The sequence below is a fragment of the Homo sapiens genome, chromosome 3 (assembly GCF_000001405.40).
Source record: "Homo sapiens chromosome 3, GRCh38.p14 Primary Assembly".
Taxonomy (NCBI): domain Eukaryota; kingdom Metazoa; phylum Chordata; class Mammalia; order Primates; family Hominidae; genus Homo; species Homo sapiens.
In genome coordinates this window covers 75,267,926-75,293,284 of record NC_000003.12, presented here as the reverse complement: position 1 = coordinate 75,293,284, position 25,359 = coordinate 75,267,926, and the positions used below count along the sequence as shown (strand labels likewise).

Below are 25,359 nucleotides of genomic sequence, written 5' to 3'. Positions count from 1 at the left end.
CTCCTTCTCATCCCCCTGCTGCAAAGGCTGTCAGACTTTTTCTGGCTCCTCATTCGCAATATTTCTCATTACAAACATTGATTCTCAACAGCTGTTTGAGAAGGTTTTGGAGAAGCCACACTCTGCTAGAAAATCCAGGGGGTACATGAGAGATCCAGCAGGGGAGGCTTTTCTGTGTGAAGAGCTTTGGGTACATTATCTAATTTTATCCTCACAGCAGCCCCATGAGAAATATTATTATTATTTCTGTTTTACAGATGAGGAAGCTAAGGTTCGGATTGTTTAAGTAATTTACCCCAAGTAGCATGGCTGGTAAGTGATGGAGCAAAAATTCCAACCCCGAGTCTGCTTTAGAAGACCTGATCTTATCCAGGATGCCATCAACCTTCTGTGGGCAATAGACCCAGACCACAGATCATTTGGAAGAATCTCACATATCACACTCTAAGAATTGATATGTTTTCTGCTTCCTCTTTTCTGGCCTGTCCCAGTGACCTTTCAAACCCCAAAGTCTTGGAAAAATCTACTGTGTTAACTGAGTCTTTACTGAAACTTCAGTCCATGTAGAGAAAATAAGAGTCTCCAGCTTGTGTCGCTTGCTTCAAGTTCCAGTTGGCCTGCGGGGATGTACCACCAAGTGATCCTGGGAAAACATTGGAACTTTAGTTTCCTTACCTACTAAATAGGGACCTATAAGACCTATCTTTGGGGTTGTTGTGAGGGTTAACATGTGGGAAGACCATCTGGAGCCTGCAAAGTCCAGGCAATTGCTGGGTCATGTGATGAGTATGGTACCCAAGTATGGTGCCTGAAGTATAATAAAGAGGAAAAGCCTCCCTAAGGTCTGTCTTCACAGAGCAGATATTACAGAGCACTTTATCCCCAAATAGTTCAGAAGGTGTCTCCTAAGAATAAGGACATTATCCTGTTTTTATATAATGTATATAACCGCAATACTTTTATTACACCTAAGAAAAGTAATAATAATTCCAGAATATCAGATATCCCTAGTTGTTTCAAGAATGCCTTTTATAGCTGTTTTCATTGTGCCAAAATACACATAACATAAAATGTACCATTTTAACCATTTTTAAATGTACACTTCAGTGGCATTAAGTACAGTCACATTGTTGTGTAATCATCACCACCATCTACCTCCAGAACTTTTTTATCTACCCCATGAAACTGCATCCAGTAAAACACTAACTCCTCAGCCCCTGGCAATGACCATTTTACTTTCTGTCTCTATACATTTGACAATTCTGGTACTTCATGTAAATAGAATCACACAGTATTTGTGCTATTGTGACTGACTTATTTCACTTAGCACAATGTCTTCTAGGTTTATCCATGTTGTGGCACGTGTTAGAATTTCCTGCCTTTTTAAAGCTGAATGATATCCCACTATGTGTATATGCCACATTTTGTTTATCCATTCATACATTGATGAACACTTTTATTGCTTCTACTTTTTGGCTGTTGTAAATAATGCTGCTATGAACAGGGGGGTACAAATATCTGTTTGAGTCCTTGATTCTACTTCTTTTGGATGTATATGCAGAAGTGGGATTGCTGGATCATATAGTAATTCTGTGGTTAATTTTTTGAGGAATGGCCATCCCATTTTTCAGAGCAGCTATACTTTTTACACACCCACCAGCAATGCACAAGGGTTCCCATTTCTCCACATCCTTACCAATACTTGTTATTTTTTGTTGCCTTTATTTTATTTTATCTTATTTTATTTTAGGGATGGGGTCTTGCTGTTTTGCACATATTGGAGTGCAGTGGCTATTCACACTTAGTGCACTGCAGCCTCTAACTCCTGGTCTCAAGAAATTCTCCCACCTCAGCCTCTTGAGTAGCTGGGACTACAGCATCATTGTGCCTGGCACTTTCTTTTTTTTTTTTTTTTTTTATACTAGCCAACTTAATGTGTTTGATCTCATTGTGGTTTCAACTTGCATTTCCCTCCTAATTAGTCTTTTCATGTGTTTATTGACCAGTTGTACATCTTCTTTGGAGAAATGTCTATTCAACTCCTTTCCCCATTTTTCAATCTGTTAATTATTTTGTAGTTATTGAGTTGTAAGGATTCTTCATATATTATGAATATCAATTTGCAAATATTTTCTCGCCCTCAGTGGTTTGCCTTTTCTCTGTGTTGACTGTGTCCTTTGATGCACAGAAGTATTTAATCTTTATGTAGTACAATTTATCTATTTTTTCTTTTTGTGCTTTTGGTGGCAACCAGAAAATTTGAAATTACATGTAGCTGTAGCTGACATTGTATTGCTATTGGATACTTCTGGCCTAGAAGCTTGATTAGATTTAGGTTAATTCATTTTGGCAAGAATACTTCATAGTTCGGACACAGTGGCTCACACCTATAATCCCAGCACTTTCAGGCAGAACTCCCACAGGAGTTCAAGACCAGCCTGTGCAACATGGTGAAACAACATCTCTACAAAGAATATATATAAAATCAGCCAGGTATGGTGGCACACATCTGTAGTCCCAGCTACCAGGGAGGCTGAGGTGGGAGGATCACTTGAGACTGGGAGGTCAAAGCTGCAGTGAGCTTTGCACCTCTGCCCTCTAAACTGGGTGACAGAGCAAAACCCTATCTCAAAAAAAAAAAAAAAGAATGCTTCATAGTTGACGTTGTGTACTTCATAATATATTACAGCAAGAGGTATACAATATCTAGTTGTCCTACTGTCATTGATGCTAAATTTGATCATGTGGTTAACTGCCAGGTATCTGGATTGTAAAGTATATTTTCTCTTTTGCAATTTCTTTCTTATTTATTTATTTATTTATTTATTGATCATTCTTGGGTGTTTCTCGCAGAGGGGGATTTGGCAGGGTCATAGGACAATAGTGGAGGGAAGGTCAGCAGATAAACAAGTGAACAAAGGTCTCTGGTTTTCCTAGGCAGAGGACCCTGCGGCCTTCCGCAGTGTTTGTGTCCCTGGGTACTTAAGATTAGGGAGTGGTGATGACTCTTAACGAGCATGCTGCCTTCAAGCATCTGTTAAACAAAGCACATCTTGCACCGCCCTTAATCCATTTAACCCTGAGTGGACACAGCACATGTTTCAGAGAGCACAGGGTTGGGGGTAAGGTCACAGATCAACAGGATCCCAAGGCAGAATAATTTTTCTTAGTACAGAACAAAACGAAAAGTCTCCCATGTCTACTTCTTTCTACACAGACACGGCAACCATCCGATTTCTCAATCTTTTCCATACCTTTCCCCCCTCTCTATTCCACAAAACCGCCATTGTCATCATGGCCCGTTCTCAATGAGCTGTTGGGTACACCTCCCAGACGGGGTGGTGGCCGGGCAGAGGGGCTCCTCACTTCCCAGTAGGGGCGGCCGGGCAGAGGCGCCCCTCACCTCCCGGATGGGGCAGCTGGCCGGGCGGGGGGCTGACCCCCCCACCTCCCTCCCGGACGGGGCGGCTGGCCGGGCGGGGGGCTGACCCCCCCACCTCCCTCCCGGACGGGGCGGCTGGCCGGGCAGAGGGGCTCCTCACTTCCCAGTAGGGACGGCCGGGCAGAGGCGCCCCTCACCTCCCGGACGGGGTGGCTGGCCGGGCGGGGGGCTGACCCCCCCCACCTCCCTCCCGGACGGGGCGGCTGGCCGGGCGGGGGGCTGACCCCCACCTCCCTCCCGGACGGGGTGGCTGCCGGGCGGAGACGCTCCTCACTTCCCAGACGGGGTGGCTGCTGGACGGAGGGGCTCCGCACTTCTCAGACGGGGCGGCTGCCGGGCGGAGGGGCTCCTCACTTCTCAGACAGGGCGGCCGGGCAGAGACGCTCCTCACCTCCCAGACCGGGTCGCGGCCGGGTAGAGGCGCTCCTCATATCCCAGACGGGGCAGCGGGGCAGAGGCGCTCCCCACATCTCAGACAATGGGCGGCCGGGCAGAGACGGTCCTCACTTCCTAGATGGGATGGCGGCGGGGAAGAGGCGCTCCTCACTTCCTAGATGGGATGGCGGCGGGGAAGAGGCGCTCCTCACTTCCTACATGGGATGGCGGTCGGGCAGAGACGCTCCTCACTTTCCAGACTGGGCAGCCAGGCAGAGGGGCTCCTCACATCCCAGACGATGGGCAGCCAGGCAGAGATGTTCCTCACTTCCCAGACGGGGTGGCGGCCGGGCAGAGACTGCAATCTCGGCTTTTTGGGAGGCCAAGGCAGGTGGCTGGGAGGTGGTTGTAGCGAGCCGAGATCATGCCACTGCACTCCAGCCTGGGCACCATTGAGCACTGAGTGAACGAGGCTCCGTCTGCAATCCCGGCACCTCGGGAGGCCGAGGCTGGCGGATCACTCACGGTTAGGAGCTGGAGACCAGCCCGGCCAACACAGCGAAACCCCATCTCCACCAAAAAAATACGAAAACCAGTCAGGCGTGGCGGCGCGCGCCTGCAATCGCAGGCACTCGGCAGGCTGAGGCAGGAGAATCAGGCAGGGGGGTTGCAGTGAGCCGAGATGGCAGCAGTACAGTCCAGCTTTGGCTAGGCATCAGAGGGAGACCGTGGAAAGAGAGGGAGACGGAGACAGAGAGGGAGAGGGAGAGGGAGAGGGAGAGGGAGAGGGAGAGGGAGCCTCTTTTGCAATTTCTAAACACTTTGTGAGATGATACTTTGGTACCAGAATACCATTTCAGATATTATCAAACCTTGACACTGGTTAGCCCTCTTAGAGAAATGTACAGAGCAAAATTAAGGAAAAGAATCAATGAGTCAGATCCTAAATGCATGACCCTCCAGGAAGGCAGTTCAGATAACTCCCTGCCTTTGTACCCTGGCTTTTTGGTGACTGCAACAGCCAGAGAACATGTCTTGCCTACCCCTTCTGCCTGTCCTTCTACTTAGTGGCTGTTATGTAATCTGTAGCACTCTCTTGGGCCAGTCATTTCCATTGTAACTATAACTACAGCTTGCCCAAGCCTCATTTTCTGTCTTGCTACTAGCAATAACCCAGGCTTGTGCTATAGCCTCTGCTTCCACATTTCTGAGAGATACCAAAGGGAGTCTCTCATGCACTGAAGAACGTGTCTCTTTTTCACCTATTTTTCTTTCTGTGACTACATTTATATCTGTGCTAATTAATATTAATATTAATATCTGTGCTACATTAATACCTGTGTTCTTGGAGCAACCAGAGGGGCAAACTCCCATGGTGCCAAAGTGACCCTAGACTTCCCAGAGTGTTTTCTGGCTAAAACCATGCTGAGTCTACATGAAGTGGGGAAAAGTGTCTTCTTTCTCCCCCTTAGGACACTTTCCCTCCAGGTGCCAGTGCAGCACCTTTGTGCTCTTCTGTCTCACAACATCGGTTATGAAATCACATCCTTCAGTTTCTGCTTGACTTGCTAGAATTTGGCTCATCATAAATATCCAGGACAGACACCTTGTTGCCTCCTGATCCCCCTGTCCTTCCCAGGCATTTCAGCAAGAACACCTTCTCTCTTCTTTTAGCCAAATCAGCTCCTGGCACCCCACCTACTTTTCTTCAGAGGGATATAAATCCAATTTAGGCTAAAAGGATAACTAGTCTTATTCTCTATTACAGTACCTAAGTAGGAGAGAACACTCTCCTACTGGAATTTCCTTCAGTGTGTTTATGTGATTGCAAGCCCAAATGGCTGATGATGTAATCAAAGGACTCCAGTTAGGTCCTAAGGTTTGCTCCCATTACAAGCAAAAAGAGATACTAGTAACCCTTCCAGAATAGCTCCATGGACCCAGGGATCCAAGAGACCAAATGAGAAGTTAAGAATAAGCACAAGTGAATGTAAAAATCTAAAACTATTTCTAGAAGAAAACACAGAAGAAAAGCTTTGCAATTTTGAGGCAGGCAAAGATTTCTTACTATGCAAAAAGCATGGACAATGAACCAAAAGGTTGATAAACTGGACTTCATTAAAATTTCAAAATGTTGTTCTTTGCAAGACACTACTTTAAAAGATGAAAAGTTAGCCAGGTACAGTGGCTCATGCTTGTAATGTCAGCAATTTGGGAGGCTGAGGCAGGATGACTGCTTGATCCCAGGAGTTTGAGAGCAGCCTCAGCACCATGGCAAGACCCTGTCTCTACAGAAAAAAAAAACCAAAAACAACAACAAAAACAGAAAAACCTGGAGTGGTGGTGCACACCTGCATTCCCAGCTACTTGGGAGGCTGAGGTGGAAGGCTAGGAGAAAACATTTGTAATACACATATATGGCAAAGGATTTATATCCGGATAGAAAGAATTCTTACAATTCAATAACAAGAACCAACACAATTTTTAAATGGGCAAAATATTTGAAGAGACACTTCACCAAAAAAGATATATGAATGGCAAATAAGCACATTAAAAATACTCAACGTGATTAGTTGGTGTTGAGCATTAGTTATCATGCAAATAAACCACAATGAAATACCAATGCACAGTCACTAAAATGGCAAGAAATTTAAAAAACTGACCCTACCAACCTTTGACAAGAATGTGGCAACAACTAGAATTCTCCTATAATGCTGTTGAGAATGTCAAATGGTAGGACCACTTTGAAAAAAGGGTATGGCAGTTTCTTTCTTTCTTTCTTTCTTTTTTTTTTTTTTTTTTTGAGACAGAGTTTTGCTCTTGTCACCCAGGCTGGAGTTCAGTGGTGCGATCTCGGCTCACTGCAACCTCTGCCTCCCAGGTTCAAGCAGTTCTTCTTCCTCAGCCTCCCAAGTAGCTGGGATTACAGGCATGTGCCACCACACCGTAATAACTTTTGTATTTCTATTAGAGATGGGGTTTTGCCATATTGGCCAGGGTGGTCTTGAACTCCTGACCTCAGGTGACCCACCTGTCTCAGCCTCCCAAAGTGCTGGGATTACAGGCGTGAGCCACCGCACCTGGCCAGCAGTTTCTTAAAATGTTAAACATAGACCTGTCATATGACCCAGCCATTGGACTCCTAAGTATTTATCCAAGAAAATTAAAACATATGTCCACACAAAAGCTTATATATGAATGTCCATAGAAGCTTTAATAATAATAGCCCAAAACAAATGTCCCTCAAGAAAAGAAACAAAATGCCGTATATTCATACAATAGAATACTATTCAGCAGTAAAAACAAATAAATTATTGATATGTCAATAAAATGAATAAATTTCAAAATAATTATGCTGAGTGGAAAAAAGCCAGACACAAAAGAGTACATACTAAACAATTCTATTTATATAAAATTCTGGAAAATGTGAACTTCCCTGAAGTGACAGAAAGCAAATCAGTAGTTCTATGATGCTAAGAGCAGGAGGCAGGATGGACTGCAAACATATGCTAGGGAACTTTTCGGAATGATGGAAATGTTTCATGTGTTAATAATCGTGGTTTCCCAGGGGCATGTGTCTGTCAAAAGTCATTAAATCACACAAATTTGTAAAGTGGCAAAGAGGAAGTTAAAGCAGAGAATGAGTTGGAAGCTGAGTCAAGAGAGTCCCTCACATGTCCAGGGAAGGTTAGCAAAAAGCTCAGGCTGGAAATAGACTAGACTGAGTTCCAGATAGCTGTAGTCAGAAGAAGGGTGATCTCACTGGTGATAAAGATGACTCAATGGTGAGCCACACACACAACCTTCTTGACTGGAGGGCTTTCCTCTTCCCAGCCACATCGGTCCTGCTGGTAAGACTCTTCCTCCAAGAATTATTTTTTAACATTTCCCTGCTCATTCTGCATTTACAGCATGGTTTCCACTAAGTCATCTATATAGCACTTCCTTTCACAGCTACTTGTTGCCCATTGCATATCACTTGTTAAGTCAGATATTACCAAGCATTGGCAAAAAGGTGGGGAAAGAGAGCCCTCACCCACTGCAGATGCAGCCGTTCTGAAGGATAATTGTGCACCTTAAATCCACCAAGCCCACTCCTGGGTATACACCCAGGGAAATTCTTCCCAGGGAACACAAGATGTTCCTAACAAGCTTCACTATCACTCTGCTAGAGGCAACCTAGGTGTCTATGTCCAAGGAATGTACAGGTAAAATATAGTTTGTGTATACAATAGGATAATGAATTATATTTTCATTTAGAAACTTGGATTGATCTCAAAAATGGAGTTAAGAGTAAAAAAGCAAAAACAGAATGGGATTTATAGCACAATTCCATTTATGTATCAAACACACACATAAAGCGGCCTTGTGTATTTTTGTAAGGACGCTCATATATCTAAATAAACGTCTGTTGGATGGATTGGAAGAACTATATTAAATGTATTATAGTGGATGCCTGTGCAAGGAGGGCAGTGGGATTAGGAATGATAGATGAAGGGAAAAAAACAATAAACCTTAAAAAAATGTTTTCACAAAAAGGTTGGTTCTTCTATGAATAAATGATAATATTCCACGAACTGAGAAGCAGGATTACCTCAAACATGTGCAAGTGAATTCCAAAAGATATGAAAAAGAAAAAAATATACATAATTCTAGCATTTTGTCTGTTTTTCATATTCCAAACAAAGGAACTGTTTCCTGTTTTACAGGTTTTCTATTGTTGCCATAACAAATTACTATACACTTAATAGCTTAAAACAACATAAATTTATTACCCTACAGTTCTGTAGGTAAGAAGTCTACCACATGTCTTATTGGGCAAAAATCAAAGTGTTGGTAGCACTGCGTTCTTTTCTGAGAGCTCTAGGAGAGTTTCCTTGCCTGTTCCAGCTTCTAGAGATCACCCACATTTCTCAACCCATGGCCCTCCTCCTCTGTCTTCAAAGCCAGCAAGGGCAGCACTTGTCCTTCTCACATCTCCTTCTCTGACTCTGATCTTCTCTTCTGCCTCCCTCTTTCACTTTTCAGGACACTTGTGATTATATGGGGCCCACTTGGATCACCCAGGACATTCTCTCTATCTTAAAATCAGCTGCTTAGCCACCTTAATTTTATCTGCAAACCCACTCCCCTTTTCTGTGTAAGGTAACATATTCATAGGTTCTAGGGATTAGGACATGGACATTTGTAGTCTGTTATTCTGCCCTCCACACCTGAGCATATGTCAAATACTGAATAACAGAAAACCACATATTCTTTCTCATTGTGAATGAGTTATTCAGCCAAATGACAAAAGATATGTTGATGCTACTATGTGCTAGATCCCCATGGTAAGAGCTGAAGTTACAGTAGTGGTCAGGAGTTGGGGATTTGGTGATGTTCTTTCCCTTGCAACAAAAATTCCCATTCTGGCATATTTTAGCTAAAGGATAAATGAGAAGTATTCTGATTAAGCTATCTTATTACAATGTAAATGACTGGCCTCTGGAAGAGATGCTTATGTTCTTTTCAAAAGAAGCACCCTAACCCAGGGCCTCTTAAACTTTAATGGGCATGTAAATTGCCTGGGAATCTTGTCAAATGGAGTTTTGATCCAGTAGGATTGGCATGAGGCCTGAGTCTGCTTTTTCACAAACTTCCAGATGATGCTAATGCTACCTGTCCAGGGCTACACTTCTCTTTGAGTTAGGGAGCAAGACCTTAACTCAAACAGAGCTCCAACTGTAAGCCATAGTCAGTCTGACCCTGCCATCAATCAATCTTTATGATGGGTTTACCTCCTTCTAAGAGGTGACAGTAGTCAATCAGCTTTGCAAAACACCACACTTTGTCACTGTGACAAAATACCCCCAGCAGAGAGGATACTTCATCTACTAGGAATGCCCTCGGTTTCCCACAAGGATGGTTTCTGACCAAGACCCAATTTCATCCCCAGATATGGGTGTGCTGTATACAATCTTTGATAGGATAGTGAGTCTCCTGTTTTCCCAGCCAGGACTCCTAACCTCCAAGACTGATGACCCCCAGACAGTGTGACCCAGTGGCCCAGTGTCTGAATTCATATCTATTGTCAGAAGTATATTTGATTGGGCAAAATCAGGACTATATTGGGACAGATTACCTGAGCTATTTGAGGAGTACCTTACTAGATCAAGTTATAAAGGCTGACAAGATTCAACATTATCTCCCTACTAGTGTTTTGCATACTAGTTCCATCAGGGCTGAGAAATAGATGAGCAGAAGACAGAACAGAAGCAATAGAATCTCCATAGGTAAGTTGGGTTCTCTTTACAGTGACCTCAAAGGGATTCTGGCCAAAGAAACTATCTTAGTAAAGCTCAAGGACCAATGGGAGGACACATTATTGCATCAAGGTGAATTGATAATGTAATTTGTAAGGTAAAAGAATGCAAGTTCCTATATATACCACATGGCTGGTATATTAATGAGTTTGGGCAGTACCACTTCATACTACACTTTTGAACACTGATGTGCTTGGGTATTCTCTGAGCTGTGACTTCCCCAAATCCTTGTTTGGGCTGCAAAACTTTGATCATTTTGGGACAACAAAGCAGAACCATACCTGCAGTTCCACACCTTCTACTTGCAAAATAACTAGGTGCATCTCATCTCAGCAGAGTGCTGTTGTAACATTTCCCCTGAGGATTCCTTGAGGAGCCTCCATTTTATGGCATCTATAGACCTTCTTCCCAAATTATTCTGGGTGGGTAGCTGCTGAAAACCCTCTTGTATGAACAAACACTGTGGGAGCTCCCCTACTCAAGCAGCACAGATCCAAAGTTGGTACCCCTGCAATACAGCAATGGTGGGAGGCATGGATCTCTGCCAGGTAGAGAGGAGACATATTCTGACTATAGAAGGACTTAAAGCTGTCAATTCATCCAGCATCTCAGCTGAATGACCTCCATGAGAGCTGTTTCCTATTGTAGAACAAATTAAGTTAGGGGGTCACTATTCTCTCTCACCCTAAGTATTCATTCAAGTATTAAAGTGTAGAACTTTACATCAGGCAGCAGCTTTTAAGACGTAGAGTCTAATACCCATTATTTTGTGGACTTGAAAAAAAATGAAGACTAGTTACGAAGGCCCAGGAAACCAGCTTACCCTCCCACCCTTCTGTTTACATTGCACTCCCACCTCTATACTTTTTACCACTTTCATACTTTTTGTTTCCTCCTTCCCTTTCACTTACCTTGGAATGATGGCTCCTGAATTTCTTGCCTCCACTAAAACTGGATGGATGGCTTTTCTCCCTCTGCTGAAGGGAAGAAAGCTGTGAAAGCCTATAAATAAAGGAAGTACATAGATCAAGATTAAACAGGCAGTTCACGGTAGAGATGATATCCAAACCGAGCTCACACAGGCCAGTCAGGTGACTTGTTTGAGGTCACATATCTAGTTGATGGCAATGCTGGGGCCAGAACCCACCTCCAACTTCAAGACTTTTTCCCACTAAGCCTTCCTCAACCATAGCTAGAACACCCTTCCTCATACCTGATGAAATGATACCTCATTACGGATTCAAAAACACCTTTGAAGATATTCACCTTGAAAGGTGAAGGTCAAGTTTCACCTTGAAAGCTGAAGGTCAAGGTCTGCTTTGGGGAAAAAGGTAAATGGACCTACCTGGGAATGCTACTGATCAGGCCTGGGTCTTTTATCTCACAGTCATATTAGCCTTCCCACCTAATTCCATTTTTAGGGTTTAAGCTTTTTAAATTAAATTAAATTTTATTTTATTCATTATTATTTGTTGAGATGGAGTCTCTGTTGCCCAGGCTGGAGTGCAGTGGCAGGATCTCGGCTCACTGCAAGCTCCACCTCCTGGGTTCATGCCATTCTCCTGCTTCAGCCTCCCGAGTAGCTGGGAATACAGGCGCCTGCCACCACGCCTGGCTATTTTTTTGTATTTTTAGTAGAGACGAGGTTTCACCATGTTATCCAGGATGGTCTCGATCTCCTGACCTCGTGATCCACCCGCCTCGGCCTCCCAAAGTGCTGGGATTACAGGCATGAGCCACTGTGCCCAGCCGGGTTTAAGCTTTTTAATTCTTTTCCAACCCAATCCCTGTCTGGCCATGTGTTACTACTATCTTGCTATTTCAAATTTCTCTCCAGCTGGGTAAATCTTCATTCTGTGTCCTAGCCCTGGGCTTTTCTCTTTGGTTTCCTCTCATCTGCCCAGGAGGCCAGCTTACCCTCCCACATCTCACTCAACTCTTCCCACTTCTATACTTTTCACCACTTTCATACTTTCTACTTCCTCCCTTCCACTGCTCTTGGAATGATGGCTTCTGAATTTTTTGCCTTCACCAAAACTGGATGACTTTTTTCCCTCTGCTGAAGGAGGTGGGGGGGCTGGGGGAAGCCGTGAAAGCCCCAAAATGCCATCTTTCATCTCATTTTCTATTTCTAGCACATATTCTATTTATAATTCTGCCTCCCTCATAGCAGATTGACACAGCACTCTGCTTAGTTCCCAGAATAAATGCAATTCAGAATGAGAGGCAAGTCCAGGCTCCCAGGATTCTTCTGCAGTCAGGCATTTGTTAGTGTTTTTTTCTGCTAGCATTTGAGGAGTGTCTCTGCTGGTAGCCCTGCTTCTCTGAACCCATCTTTCACTGTCCTGAAAATGCCTTCCATACAGGATTTTCTTCATGGCAGATTTCCTTTCCTGATCATGTCTGGACTAAGCTTATATCAAAGGCAGCTTTTATTCCCCACACATACATTGACTATGCCATAAAAGATATTTAAATATCTATAAGGTTGTAGAGGCAAAAAGGGGGTGATCCCTTTTCTCCTCATAAAGGGTCATGGCCAAAACTCCTATAACAAAAGATAAGATAAGAGACAAGCATAACAAATTTATCATGTGCATAGGAGTCACACAAAAAATATTCAAAACTCAAAAAAGGGCCAGATGAATGATGCTTAAATATCCTCTTCATTGGAGAGAGGAAAGTGAATGAACAGACCCAAGGACAAGATAATGATTTACAAAAGATTCTCTTTGGATGCTGAATGGAACCAAAGAACAAACAATAGCTTGTGGACAAGTTAGAGAAGGGTGTGGGGCAGAACTGCATTGTGAACAAGGGCTGTCTTATTATGCAAGTACGGTTCCCCAAGTAATTTCTCACAACTGCCCTTGGAAGAATAGATGAAAAGTCTGTCTGCATGTGGTTACAATTTCCAGTTTCTCCTCTTCTCCAGTGTTAATCCTTACTGGTTATTTGATGAGATTCCTAAGAAGAGGGTTTTAAGATAATTTCCTTTAATTTACAAGAAGTTTCCTCAGACAAATAGGGAAATTTCAGAGAAAGCCCCTTTTGGAAAATCAAAAGGATCAGAGAAACAGGAAGGCAGAGGAAAGTCAGAGGGAGACCTTAAAGGTGCTTCTTTACTTTGGCATGCCAGAGCAGCATATTTTGAGGTATTGGTTTCTGAGCCCCAACAAGGTAAATAACTATTATTATAACCATTTTAGAGTTGAAGAAAAAGGAGCAAAAACAATTTAATAATTTCTGCAAGGTGAAACCGCTAGTTACTATATTTGTCAAGAAGTCTCAATGTGTAGACATACATTACAAGATGACTTTGTATTTGGATATACTATGTGGGTTTGAGATAGGATTTTTTGGTACCTATAATAGTCATATTGGCAAACGTTACAATGGTGGCAGTAGAATATCTTGGTTAACAGTACAGACTCTAGAGACAGACTGCCCATATTCAAATTTCAGCTCTGGCACACCTAGCTGTGTGACCTTACTCAAGTTAATTAATACCTCTGTGCCTAAGTTTTCTCATCTCTAAAATTGGGATAATTATAATAGATAGTTAAGAAAATTAAATAAGATAATTAAATAGGCAGCTCCCTTACAGTAAGTCTTCAAAAAATGTTAACTAATATCCAAAGAAGTAATAAACACAATGACAAAAAGCATCAAATAAAAATTAACACACAAATTTTGGAGCCAAGATGGCCGAATAGGAACAGCTCCAGTCTACAGCCCCCAGCGTGAGTGATGCAGAAGACGGTGATTTCTGCATTTCCATCTGAGGTACCGGGTTCATCTCACTACGGAGTACCAGACAGTGGGCGCAGGTCATTGGGTGCGCGCACCATGCATGAGCCGAAGCAGGGTGAGGTATTGCCTCACTTGGGAAGCGCAAGGGGTCAGGGAGTTCCCTTTCCGAGTCAAAGAAAGTGGTGACCGATGGCACCTGGAAAATCGGGTCACTCCCACCCGAATACTGCGCTTTTCCGACGGGCTTAAAAAACGGCACACCATGAGATTATATCCCGCACCTGGCTCGGAGGGTCCTATGCCGAAGGAGTCTCGCTGATTGCTAGCACAGCAGTCTGAGATCAAACTGCAAGGCGGCAGCGAGGCTGGGGGAGGGGCGCCCACCATTGCCCAGGCTTGATTAGGTAAACAAAGCAGCCGGGAAGCTCAAACTGGGTGGAGCCCACCACAGGTCAAGGAGGCCTGCCTGCCTCTGTAGGCTCCACCTCTGGGGGCAAGGCACAGACAAACAAAAAGACAGCAGTAACCTCTGCAGACTTAAATGTCCCTGTCTGACAGCTTTGAAGAGAGCAGTGGTTCTCCCAGCACACAGCTGGAGATCTGAGAACGGTCAGACTGCCTCCTCAAGTGGGTCCCTGACCCCTGACCCCCGAGCAGCCTAACTGGGAGGCACCCCCCAGCAGGGGCACACTGACACCTCACAAGGCAGGGTACTCCAACAGACCTGCAGCTGAGGGTCCTGTCTGTTAGAAGGAAAACTAACAAACAGAAAGGACATCCACACCAAAAACCTAACTGTACATCACCATCATCAAAGACCAAAAGTAGATAAAACCACAAAGATGGGGAAAAAACAGAACAGAAAAACTGGAAACTCTAAAAAGCAGAGCAACTCTCCTCCTCCAAAGGAAAGCAGTTCCTCACCAGCAACGGAACAAAGCTGGATGGAGAATGACTTTGACGAGCTGAGAGAAGAAGGCTTCAGACGATCAAATTACTCTGAGCTACAGGAGGACATTCAAACCAAAGGCAAAGAAGTTTAAAACTTTGAAAAAAAAATTAGAAGAATGTATAACTAGAATAATCAATACAGAGAAGTGCTTAAAGGAGCTGATGGAGCTGAAAACCAAGGCTCAAGAACTACATGAAGAATGCAGAAGCCTCAGGAGCCGATGCGATCAACTGGAAGAAAGGGTATCAGCGATGGAAGATGAAATGAATGAAATGAAGCGAGAAGGGAAGTTTAGAGAAAAAGGAATAAAAATGAGCAAACCCTCCAAGAAATATGGGACTATGTGAAAAGACCAAATCTACGTCTGATTGGTGTACCTGAAAGTGATGGGGAGAATGGAACCAAGTTGGAAAACACTCTGCAGGATATTATCCAGGAGAACTTCCCCAATCTAGCAAGGCAGACCAACGTTCAGATTCAGGAAATACAGAGAACGCCACAAAGATACTCCTCGAGAACAGCAACTCCAAGACACATAATTGTCGATTCACCAAAGTTGAAATGAAGGAAAAAATGTTAAGGGCAGCCAGAGAGAAAGGTTGGGTTACCCACAAAGGGAAGCCCATCAGACTAACAGCGGATCTCTCGGCAGAAACCCTACAAGCGAGAAGAGAGTGGGGGCCAATATTCAACATTCTTAAAGAAAAGAATTTTCAACCCGGAATTTCATATCCAGCCAAACTAAGCTTCATAAGCAAAGGAGAAATAAAATACTTTACAGACAAGCAAAGGTTGAGAGATTTTGTCACCACCAGGCATGCCCTAAAAGAGCTCCTGAAGGAAGCACTAAACATGGAAAGGAACAACCGGTACCAGCCACTGCAAAATCATGCCAAAATGTAAAGACCATCAAGACTAGGAAGAAACTGCATCAACTAACGAGCAAAATAACCAGCTAACATCATAATGACAGGATCAAATTCACACATAACAATATTAACTTTAAATGTAAATGGACTAAATGCTCCAATTAAAAGACACAGACTGGCAAATTGGATAAAGAGTCACCCATCAGTGTGCTGTATTTAGGAAACCCATCTCACGTGCAGAGACACACATAGGCTCAAAATAAAAGGATGGAGGAAGATCTACCAAGCAAATGGAAAACAAAAAAAGGCAAGGGTTGCAATCCTAGTCTCTGATAAAACAGACTTTAAACCAACAAAGATCAAAAGAGACAAAGAAGGCCATTACATAATGGTAAAGGGATCAATTCAACAAGAAGAGCTAACTATCCTAAATATATATACACCCAATACAGGAGCACCCAGATTCATAAAGCAAGTCCTGAGTGACCTACAAAGAGACTTAGACTCCCACACATTAATAATGAGAGACTTTAACACCCCACTGTCAACATTAGACAGATCAACGAGACAGAAAGTCAACAAGGATACCCAGGAATTGAACTCAGCTCTGCACCAAGCGGACCTAATAGACATCTACAGAACTCTCCACCCCAAATCAAAAGAATATACATTTTTTTCAGCACCACACCACACCTATTCCAAAATTGACCACATACTTGGAAGTGAAGCTCTCCTCAGCAAATGTAAAACAACAGAAATTATAACAAACTATCTCTCAGACTACAGTGCAATCAAACTAGAACTCAGGATTAAAAATCTCACTCAAAACTGCTCAACTACATGGAAACTGAACAACCTGCTCCTGAATGACTACTGGGTACATAACGAAATGAAGGCAGAAATAAAGATGTTCTTTGAAACCAGCGAGAAAAAAGACACAACATACCAGAATCTCTGGGACACATTCAAAGTAGTGTGTAGAGGGAAATTTATAGCACTAAACGCCCACAAGAGAAAGCAGGAGAGATCCAAAATTGACACCCTAACATCACAATTAAAAGAACTAGAAAAGCGAGAGCAAACACATTCAAAAGCTAGCAGAAGGCAAGAAATAACTAAAATCAGAGCAGAACTGAAGGAAATAGAGACACGAAAAACCCTTCAAAAAATTAATGAATCCAGGAGCTGGTTTTTTGAAAGGATCAACAAAATTGATAGACCGCTAGCAAGACTAATAAAGAAAAAAAGAGAGAAGAATCAAATAGACGCAATAAAAAATGATAAAGGGGATATGACCACCGATCCCACAGAAATACAAACTACCATCAGAGAATACTACAAACACCTCTACGCAAATAAACTAGAAAATCTAGAAGAAATGGATAAATTCCTTGACACATACACTCTCCCAAGACTAAACCAGGAAGAAGTTGAATCTCTGAATAGACCAATAACAGGAGCTGAAATTGTGGCAATAATCAATAGCTTACCAACCAAAAAGAGTCCAGGACCAGATGGATTCACAGCCGAATTCTACCAGACGTACAAGGAGGAACTGGTACCATTCCTTCTGAAACTATTCCAATCAATAGAAAAAGAGGGAATCCTCCCTAACTCATTTTATGAGGCCAGCATCATTCTGATACCAAAGCCGGGCAGAGACACAACCAAAAAAGAGAATTTTAGACCAATATCCTTGATGAACATTGATGCAAAAATCCTCAATAAAATACTGGCAGACCAAATCCAGCAGCACATCAAAAAGCTTATCCACCATGATCAAGTGGGCTTCATCCCTGGGATGCAAGGCTGGTTCAGTATACACAAATCAATAAATGTAATCCAGCATATAAACAGAGCCAAAGACAAAAACCACATGATTATCTCAATAGATGCAGAAAAAGCCTTTGACAAAATTCAACAACCCTTCATGCTAAAAACTCTCAATAAATTAGGTATTGATGGGACGTATTTCAAAATAATAAGAGCTATCTATGACAAACCCACAGCCAATATCATACTGAATGGGCAAAAACTGGAAGCATTCCCTTTGAAAACTGGCACAAGACAGGGATGCCCTGTCTCATCACTCCTATTCAACATAGTGTTGGAAGTTCTGGCCAGGGCAATCAGGCAGGAGAAAGAAATAAAGGGTATTCAAGTAGAAAAAGAGGAAGTCAAATTGTCCCTGTTTGCAGATGACATGATTGTATATCTAGAAAACCCCATCGTCTCAGCCCAAAATCTCCTTAAGCTGATAGGCAACTTCAGCAAAGTCTCAGGATACAAAATCAATGTGCGAAAATCACAAGCATTCTTGTACACCAACAACAGACAGAGAGCCAAATCATGAGTGAACTCCCATTCACAATTGCTTCAAAGAGAATAAAATACCTAGGAATCCAACTTACAAGGGATGTGAAGGAGCTCTTCAAGGAGAACTACAAACCACTGCTCAAGGAAATAAAAGAGGATACAAACAAATGGAAGAAGATTCCATGCTCATGGGTAGGAAGAATCAATATCGTGAAAATGGCCATACTGCCCAAAGTAATTTACAGATTCAATGCCATCCCCATCAAGCTACAAATGCCTTTCTTCACAGAATTGGAAAAAACTACTTTAAAGTTCATATGGAACCAAAAAAGAGCCCTCATCGCCAAGTCACTCCTAAGCCAAAAGAACAAAGCTGGAGGCATCACACTACCTGACTTCAAACTATACTACAAGGCTACAGTAACCAAAACAGCATGATACTGGTACCAAAACAGAGATATAGATCAATGGAACAGAACAGAGCCCTCAGAAATAATGCCGCATATCTACAACTATCTGATCTTTGACAAACCTGAGAAAAACAAGCAATGGCGAAAGGATTCCCTATTTAATAAATGGTGCTGGGAAAACTGGCTAGCCATATGTAGAAAGCTGAAACTGGATCCCTTCCTTACATCTTATACAAAAATCAATTCAAGATGGATTAAAGACTTAATCGTTAGATCTAAAACCATAAAAACCCTAGAAGAAAACCTAGGCATTACCATTCAGGACATAGGCATGGGCAAGGACTTCATGTCTAAAACACCAAAAGCAATGGCAACAAAAGACAAAATTGACAAATGGGATCTAATTAAACTAAAGAGCTTCTGCACAGCAAAAGAAACTACCATCAGAGTGAACAGGCAACCTACAAAATGGGAGAAAATTTTCGCAACCTACTCATCTGACAAAGGGCTAATATCCGGAATCTACAATGAACTCAGACAAATTTACAAGAAAAAAACAAACAACCCCATCAAAAAGTGGGCAAAGGACATGAACAGACACTTCTCAAAAGAAGACACTTATGCAGCAAAAAAACACAGGAAAAAATGCTCATCATCACTGGCCATCAGAGAAATGCAAATCAAAACCACAATGAGATACCATTTCACACCAGTTAGAATGGCAATCATTAAAAAGTCAGGAAACAACAGGTGCTGGAGAGGATGTGGAGAAACAGGAACACTTTTACACTGTTGGTGGGACTGTAAACTAGTTCAACCATTGTGGAAGTCAGTGTGGCGATTCCTCAGGGATCTAGAACTGGAAATACCATTTGACCCAGCCATCCCATTACTGGGTATATACCCAAAGGACTAGAAATCATGCTGCTATAAAGACACATGCACACTATGTTTATTGCGGCATTATTCACTATAGCAAAGACTTGGAACTAACCCAAATGTCCAACAAGGATAGACTGGATTAAGAAAATGTGGCACATATACACCATGGAATACTATGCAGCCATAAAAAATGATGAGTTCATGTCCTTTGTAGGGACGTGGATGAAACTGGAAATCATCATTCTCAGTAAACTATCGCAAGAACAAAAAATCAAACACCGCATATTCTCACTCATAGGTGGAAATTGAACAATGAGATCACATGGACACAGGAAGGGGAATATCACACTCTGGGGACTGTTGTGGGGTGGGGGGAGGGGGGAGGGATAGAATTGGGAGATATACCTAATGCTAGATGACGAGTTAGTGGGTGCAGCACAGCAGCATGGCACATGTATACATATGTAACTAACCTGCACAATGTGCACATGTACCCTAAAACTTAAAGTGTAATAAAAAAAATTCAAAAAAAAAAAATTAACACACAAATAGAGGCGTTTGCTCCTAGACTGAGCTATGAAAAATGAGGCTTCCTTTGGAAAATTCCAATTAGGCTTTCATCTGTTAACATTTAAAGTATAGTGAAAATTAAAAAATAGTACAAAAACATAGTAACTTAATTTTGACTCTATTGTATGTCATAAAATAATTAGCTATTCACTCTTCTCAAATGAAGAGAACTGGTAGCTCACTGCTGGGTGAGCCCTCAGATGAAAACTCATTCACAGAAAGAACCAGGATCAGTTTTCTAGCATTTAGGAAAAAAAAATCCAAAGAGATATAAACAAAAGTCTGCAGACACGGCCCAGAGAAAGTCTGATATATGAATAGAAGCTAAATGAGCTAGGAAGAATGCCTTTCTCACCCCTCCAAATCGACACTTACAAGTTCCCAAGCTTGATGACCTTGGCTCATCCTAAATAAGACATCTGTACCACATCTGGTAAGACAGGGGCTGAGGGGATACAGAATGAAAGAATTTTATACTGAAATGGGACACTGGTCCAAACACTGAGGCAATAGAGATCCTGCAAGCAGGAGTAAGTGACTCACACAAAATGGCTAGAATCCAGGTTTCCAAGCATGGTCGGTTCAGTGCTCTTTGATTCTACCAACTTGCCTCATTTATGTATGTGTAAATATGTGTATTCATGGATATATATATATTTATTACATGAATGTGTTATATATGTATATATACAAATATGTGTTTATGTGATTGGATATTTATATGCATGAATATGTTAACAGATATGCATCATATCTGTATTTTTATAAATACATGTATTTCATTCTGTATATTCTATCAAGTACGTACTGACAGCTCTGTTGCATAATTTATGTCATGAATAATTGATAATATCCATACAGGAAGTTTAGGTTAATTTACATCAAAATGTTTTTTGAACACATTTAGAAATTTTTCACAGCTACACACACAGCTGCATGGTTACAGATTCGGTTTTTGTGTTCATGGACTTTGTTTTGCTGATGCAGTGCTGAACGGCAGAGGCATTTTCAAAAAAGCACATCTCAAAGGACAAGATCAAATGACATTGTAACTGAAGTCTGCATTTTTGGTAAGACTTTCCCTCTGCTTCTTTGTCACCATGCATGAGACAAGCTGTGCTGTGCTGTTTCAGACAAAGGGGCTTGCGAGAGACAGGCATTAAGACTTTCCTTTATTTCTTATGTATTTGTTTATTCACAGTGTGCAAAACCATGTCCTCCCTGTTTACCCTTGTAATAGAAGGAAATTGTAATTCACTTCCTTAATGAAAAATATGCTATGGTTTACCTCACATGTAGAAAAAAGCCATTATTACCACCACAGCTATTGTTTTCCATTAATAAAATTCATTCATTTCATCTAAATCAGAATAACATTTCTTTTTCTCTTAACTCTTACTTTTCTTTTAGATAATAATCAAAGCTCAGTGGTAAGAAAAGTTATAAGGGCCCCTTGGTCAAATGCCATAATCTCCTAAACCTTCCCTTGTATAGAGATCAGAACTGCAATTCAGGCACATTGATTGGTTTGATTTCTTTGCATTGAAATAGTCTGCTTTTCCCCATCACACTAGGATGTCGAAAAGTGAGGAATAATTGCTATGTTCTGTCATTTTGATCTTTATTAGAATGTGATGTTGGGAATCTGCTTATTGGCATATTCAGCCTTGTTACCAAGATGTGTGCTGTTGAGGCCATAAAATAGACAGCTCAACTTGAAGATTAAGGCAATTGCATGCCATTATGTTCAATGCTGGTTTGCAGTTTGGGGGTAGTAAGTATGTCTGCCAGGCAGGCAAGTTCTGTTACATGGCACTGGTACAGTGCCTAGCACTTAGGGGACTAGGTGAATGAATGAATAAGCACGTGCATTTTGCCATTCCCCCATACCACTGGTATCATTGTTTTGTCTATTTTTTGCCCCAATAATCAATTTTAATTTATAAATATTGTATAAAAGAAAGTTGTGTAAAGCAAGTATCTTTTGCTGGTTATTATTAATAAAATTCATATGTAAGTATAGCACCATTTATTTAAATTCAGTGTTGTATTCCTTCCACACAAATGTAGGACATAGAACACACCTTGGGAAACACTGAAGTTGGAAAGTTCTCAAGTAATAATAATAGCGATAATAAAGAAGAGTTATACAAAGCAGCTATCATTTAAGTATCCAGTATCTACAGAGTTAGCTCCTTCAATTTAATTGTCATACCTAAGAGGAAATCGTTATTTTTCCCACTTTACAGGCAAGAAAATTGATATTCAACAAAGTTAAGAATTCATATGATAAAACTTATAACAATCATAAAATAGTTATTGATAAAAACTGATTTTATGCTGAGATTTATCAACAATATAGTATTTGATTTTCACAATGACGCTATGAAGTGAGAATTGTTGTCTTCATTAACAGATACTTAATAACGGAAACTTAAATAAATAGCCCAGTCCCTTAGCTACTAAGTGGAATAGTCAGTATTTGAGCCACCTGTCTCTATGACCTAATCCTGCAACACATGCCGTAATCTAGGAGAACTTGCAAATTCCACCATAGTAAAGAGCATACAGTAGTCCCTCCTTATCCAGAAGTGATATGTTCCAAGACCCCCAGTGGATGCCTTAAATCTCCAATAGTACAGAACCCTATGTATACTTGCATGATTTTTTTTTCCTTCTTCACAATTTCACAGGTAGAAGATTTATTATTACCACAGATTTTAGCAACCTCAGCATACCATTTTTTCTCACCTTAGTAAATGGAGAACTTTCACTTTTTCACTGAAAAAGGAAGCATTTTACAGCTTCTCTTTGGTATATCCAAACTGCCAGCATCACTACTCTTGTGCTTTGAGGCCATGATGAAGTAAGAGAAGGGTTACTTGAACGTAAGCACTGCAATGTTACAGCAGTCCATCTGGTAATTGAGCCGGCTATGAAGTGACTAACAGATGGGTGGGTAGAAAGTGTGGATATGCTGGACAAAAGAAGGATTTGTATCCAAGGCGAGGTGGAGCAGGAGCGCAGATTTCCCCAGGCCACTCAGAACGCTACATGACTAAAAACTTACAAATTGTTTATTTCTAGAATTTTCCATTTAATTTTTTTGGATGGTGGGTAAGCCAAACTGCAGATAAGGTGAAACTATTGTACTTTATAGAATGGAGCAGTAGGAATACTTTCGAGATATTCTAGTTCCACTGTGTCACTCACAGGAAACAATTCTAAAACTGTAAGTTACCAAACTCATCAGTTACTATGATTTCAAGTGAATACAAGAACTAAGCTTGCTTTTTTTTTAAACTGTTCATTGGTGAAGGTGGCAGAGAATCATTCAGCATCGGTGAAATAATCAAGTATTTTTGGACTGTTAACCAAGTCATTCAGAGCTGTGTGTGTATAGCTTGTTTTTATAAATTGAGAAGAAAGTCATCTAGCTCTAAGAGCAATGAAAGGTTACCAGTTGACCTTTTGTCTTCTTTCGGGAAGCACAGAGGAGCAAGGAACAATTCAAATTTCGAGGGGAGAGGATCCACAAAGTGTTGTTTGTTTTCTTCCATTTGATTTCTATATTCAGCTGAGCACTTCCTTGAAACTGATGCCCAGAGCTGTCATTTATCCACTTTTCCATTATCACATCTGAATCCCGCAGGCCCACTTCAAATGTGGAGGGATACACCGGCAGTTTCTGAATGGATTTCTTCAACAATGCCGCCCAATTGACTCACATTTAAAAATACTTTGATCGACCCATCTCTTTGTCACATGAAGCTGGAAACACTAATGGAGGCTGTTGGAAAGAAAGGTCTGGTTCTGTGGCCAAATACCTTGACTTTACCAAAAACAGATTTTTCTGTCTCTTCAGAAGAAGAATTACATGCAATGGGAAGACTGATGTTCCTCTGTCAGAAAGCTACCTTGGAACAGGTGCTCCCAATTAATTTCCATGAGCCACATTTATCCTGTGGCCAGATAATTAAAAAAAAATAACCTGGATAAATCTTCTTTTGCCAGTCTAATAACCATAGTTGATGTAATAAAACAGCAAGCACTTAGGAATATTCCAATAAAAAAGATTTATTTTTATTCTGGTATATATTACAATGAATAATATTATTGATATTATAGAATTTAAAAATTACATTAAATCAGAGCTATTTATGTTTATTATGCAAAATGTATGAAATATAGAAAAATATAAAGAAAAATTTCAATACACAGAAATATGGATATGCTTTATTTTCACTCCATTTTCACATATATATTGACATAGATGTAGTCAAACATTATTTAGAGTTTTATGAATTAATAACACAGTCATTAACCAAGTAATATTCATAGTCATTGCAAACTAATTGGAAAACATAAATAAATAAACTATAAGCATCACTTTCTTTTTAGTAGCACAATACTTTTTCTGATACATGTTATTTCTATTTGTTTGCTTTAAAATTCAAAAGATTATATTTATGCAGTAATGGATTTTTGTGGTTGTTATAGAGCCCATGTGCCCTGGGGAAGGATTTTAAATATCATGAAACTGAGTTCTTTCCAGTTTTCTTTCTCATTCTTCAGCCCCCTAGCAAAGATTTGACTGAGATATAAAAGAGACAATTACGTACTCTATTACCAATTCGGATGGACTTTATGGTATTTAAATGAACAAAGCTCTCTTTGTCATTTCATTAACATGATTCCTTTTCAGAGAATGAGCAGTTCTCATCTACTTCCTCCATTTTGGGAAAACAGCCCAATTTTTCTCAAGCTCATTTGAAAGGCAAAATGGTTGTTGATCTCTCCATAATTGATTGAGGATGTGTCTGGCCTCTGAGAGTACCTGAATCCATGGCTTATCTCAGACCACACTAGAGTGAGAAGTGCCATGTTCTATTTGGGTGGAATAGTTAGAGGTTCAAAACCACAGAACATAATAACCATTATTAATTTATAATTCCGTGGCATTTGTTAGCTTGTTTTTCTCATTTTTTCTTTTTCCCTCTTAAAAAATGAAATGTGTAACATCTGAGAGTTAGTTGTTCTAAAAGAGTTCAAATTTAAAATGCTGAATTTCTTCATTTGAACTTTACCCAATTATGAGAATTTTAATACTTGCAAATTATTTTTTATTGTTTTATTTTACTTTTAAAAGTAATTTTATACATTAGCTAGTCTTACTAATTAAAATGCATACATCCAAATTGCCCATATTTAAGAAGCATGTCAAAAATAAATAAAAATAATGGATCCAGATGAACAATGAGCTTTTATTTTACTTTGGCATATTTTAAGAACTATAAGCTCAGAAGAATGTATGCATATTATTTTATATATTGTACATTATTATATGCACATTATCATATACACATAAGCATATTCATGTATTACCTATCATAGATGTTTGAAATGCTTGTTTCCCGGTGCCGTAAAGAATAGCACTTGAACATAAATTTAATTTACTCAGCAAGGCCATTTTTATACTTTCTGCGGA

At 40.9% G+C, this 25,359-nt stretch overlaps 2 annotated features.

The window, feature by feature from the left end:
• Positions 2,740-3,247: an enhancer, noted in NCBI's record as "NANOG-H3K27ac-H3K4me1 hESC enhancer chr3:75339189-75339696 (GRCh37/hg19 assembly coordinates)". NCBI's record gives its function as "activates a minimal SCP1, AML or CMV promoter by ChIP-STARR-seq in primed H9 embryonic stem cells {active_cell/tissue: H9 hESC(primed)}" and the evidence as "EXISTENCE:reporter gene assay evidence [ECO:0000049][PMID:30033119]".
• Positions 7,500-7,700: a silencer, noted in NCBI's record as "peak4702 fragment used in MPRA reporter construct". NCBI's record gives its function as "represses an SCP1 promoter by STARR-seq MPRAs in K562 erythroleukemia cells {active_cell/tissue: K562}" and the evidence as "EXISTENCE:reporter gene assay evidence [ECO:0000049][PMID:32103011]".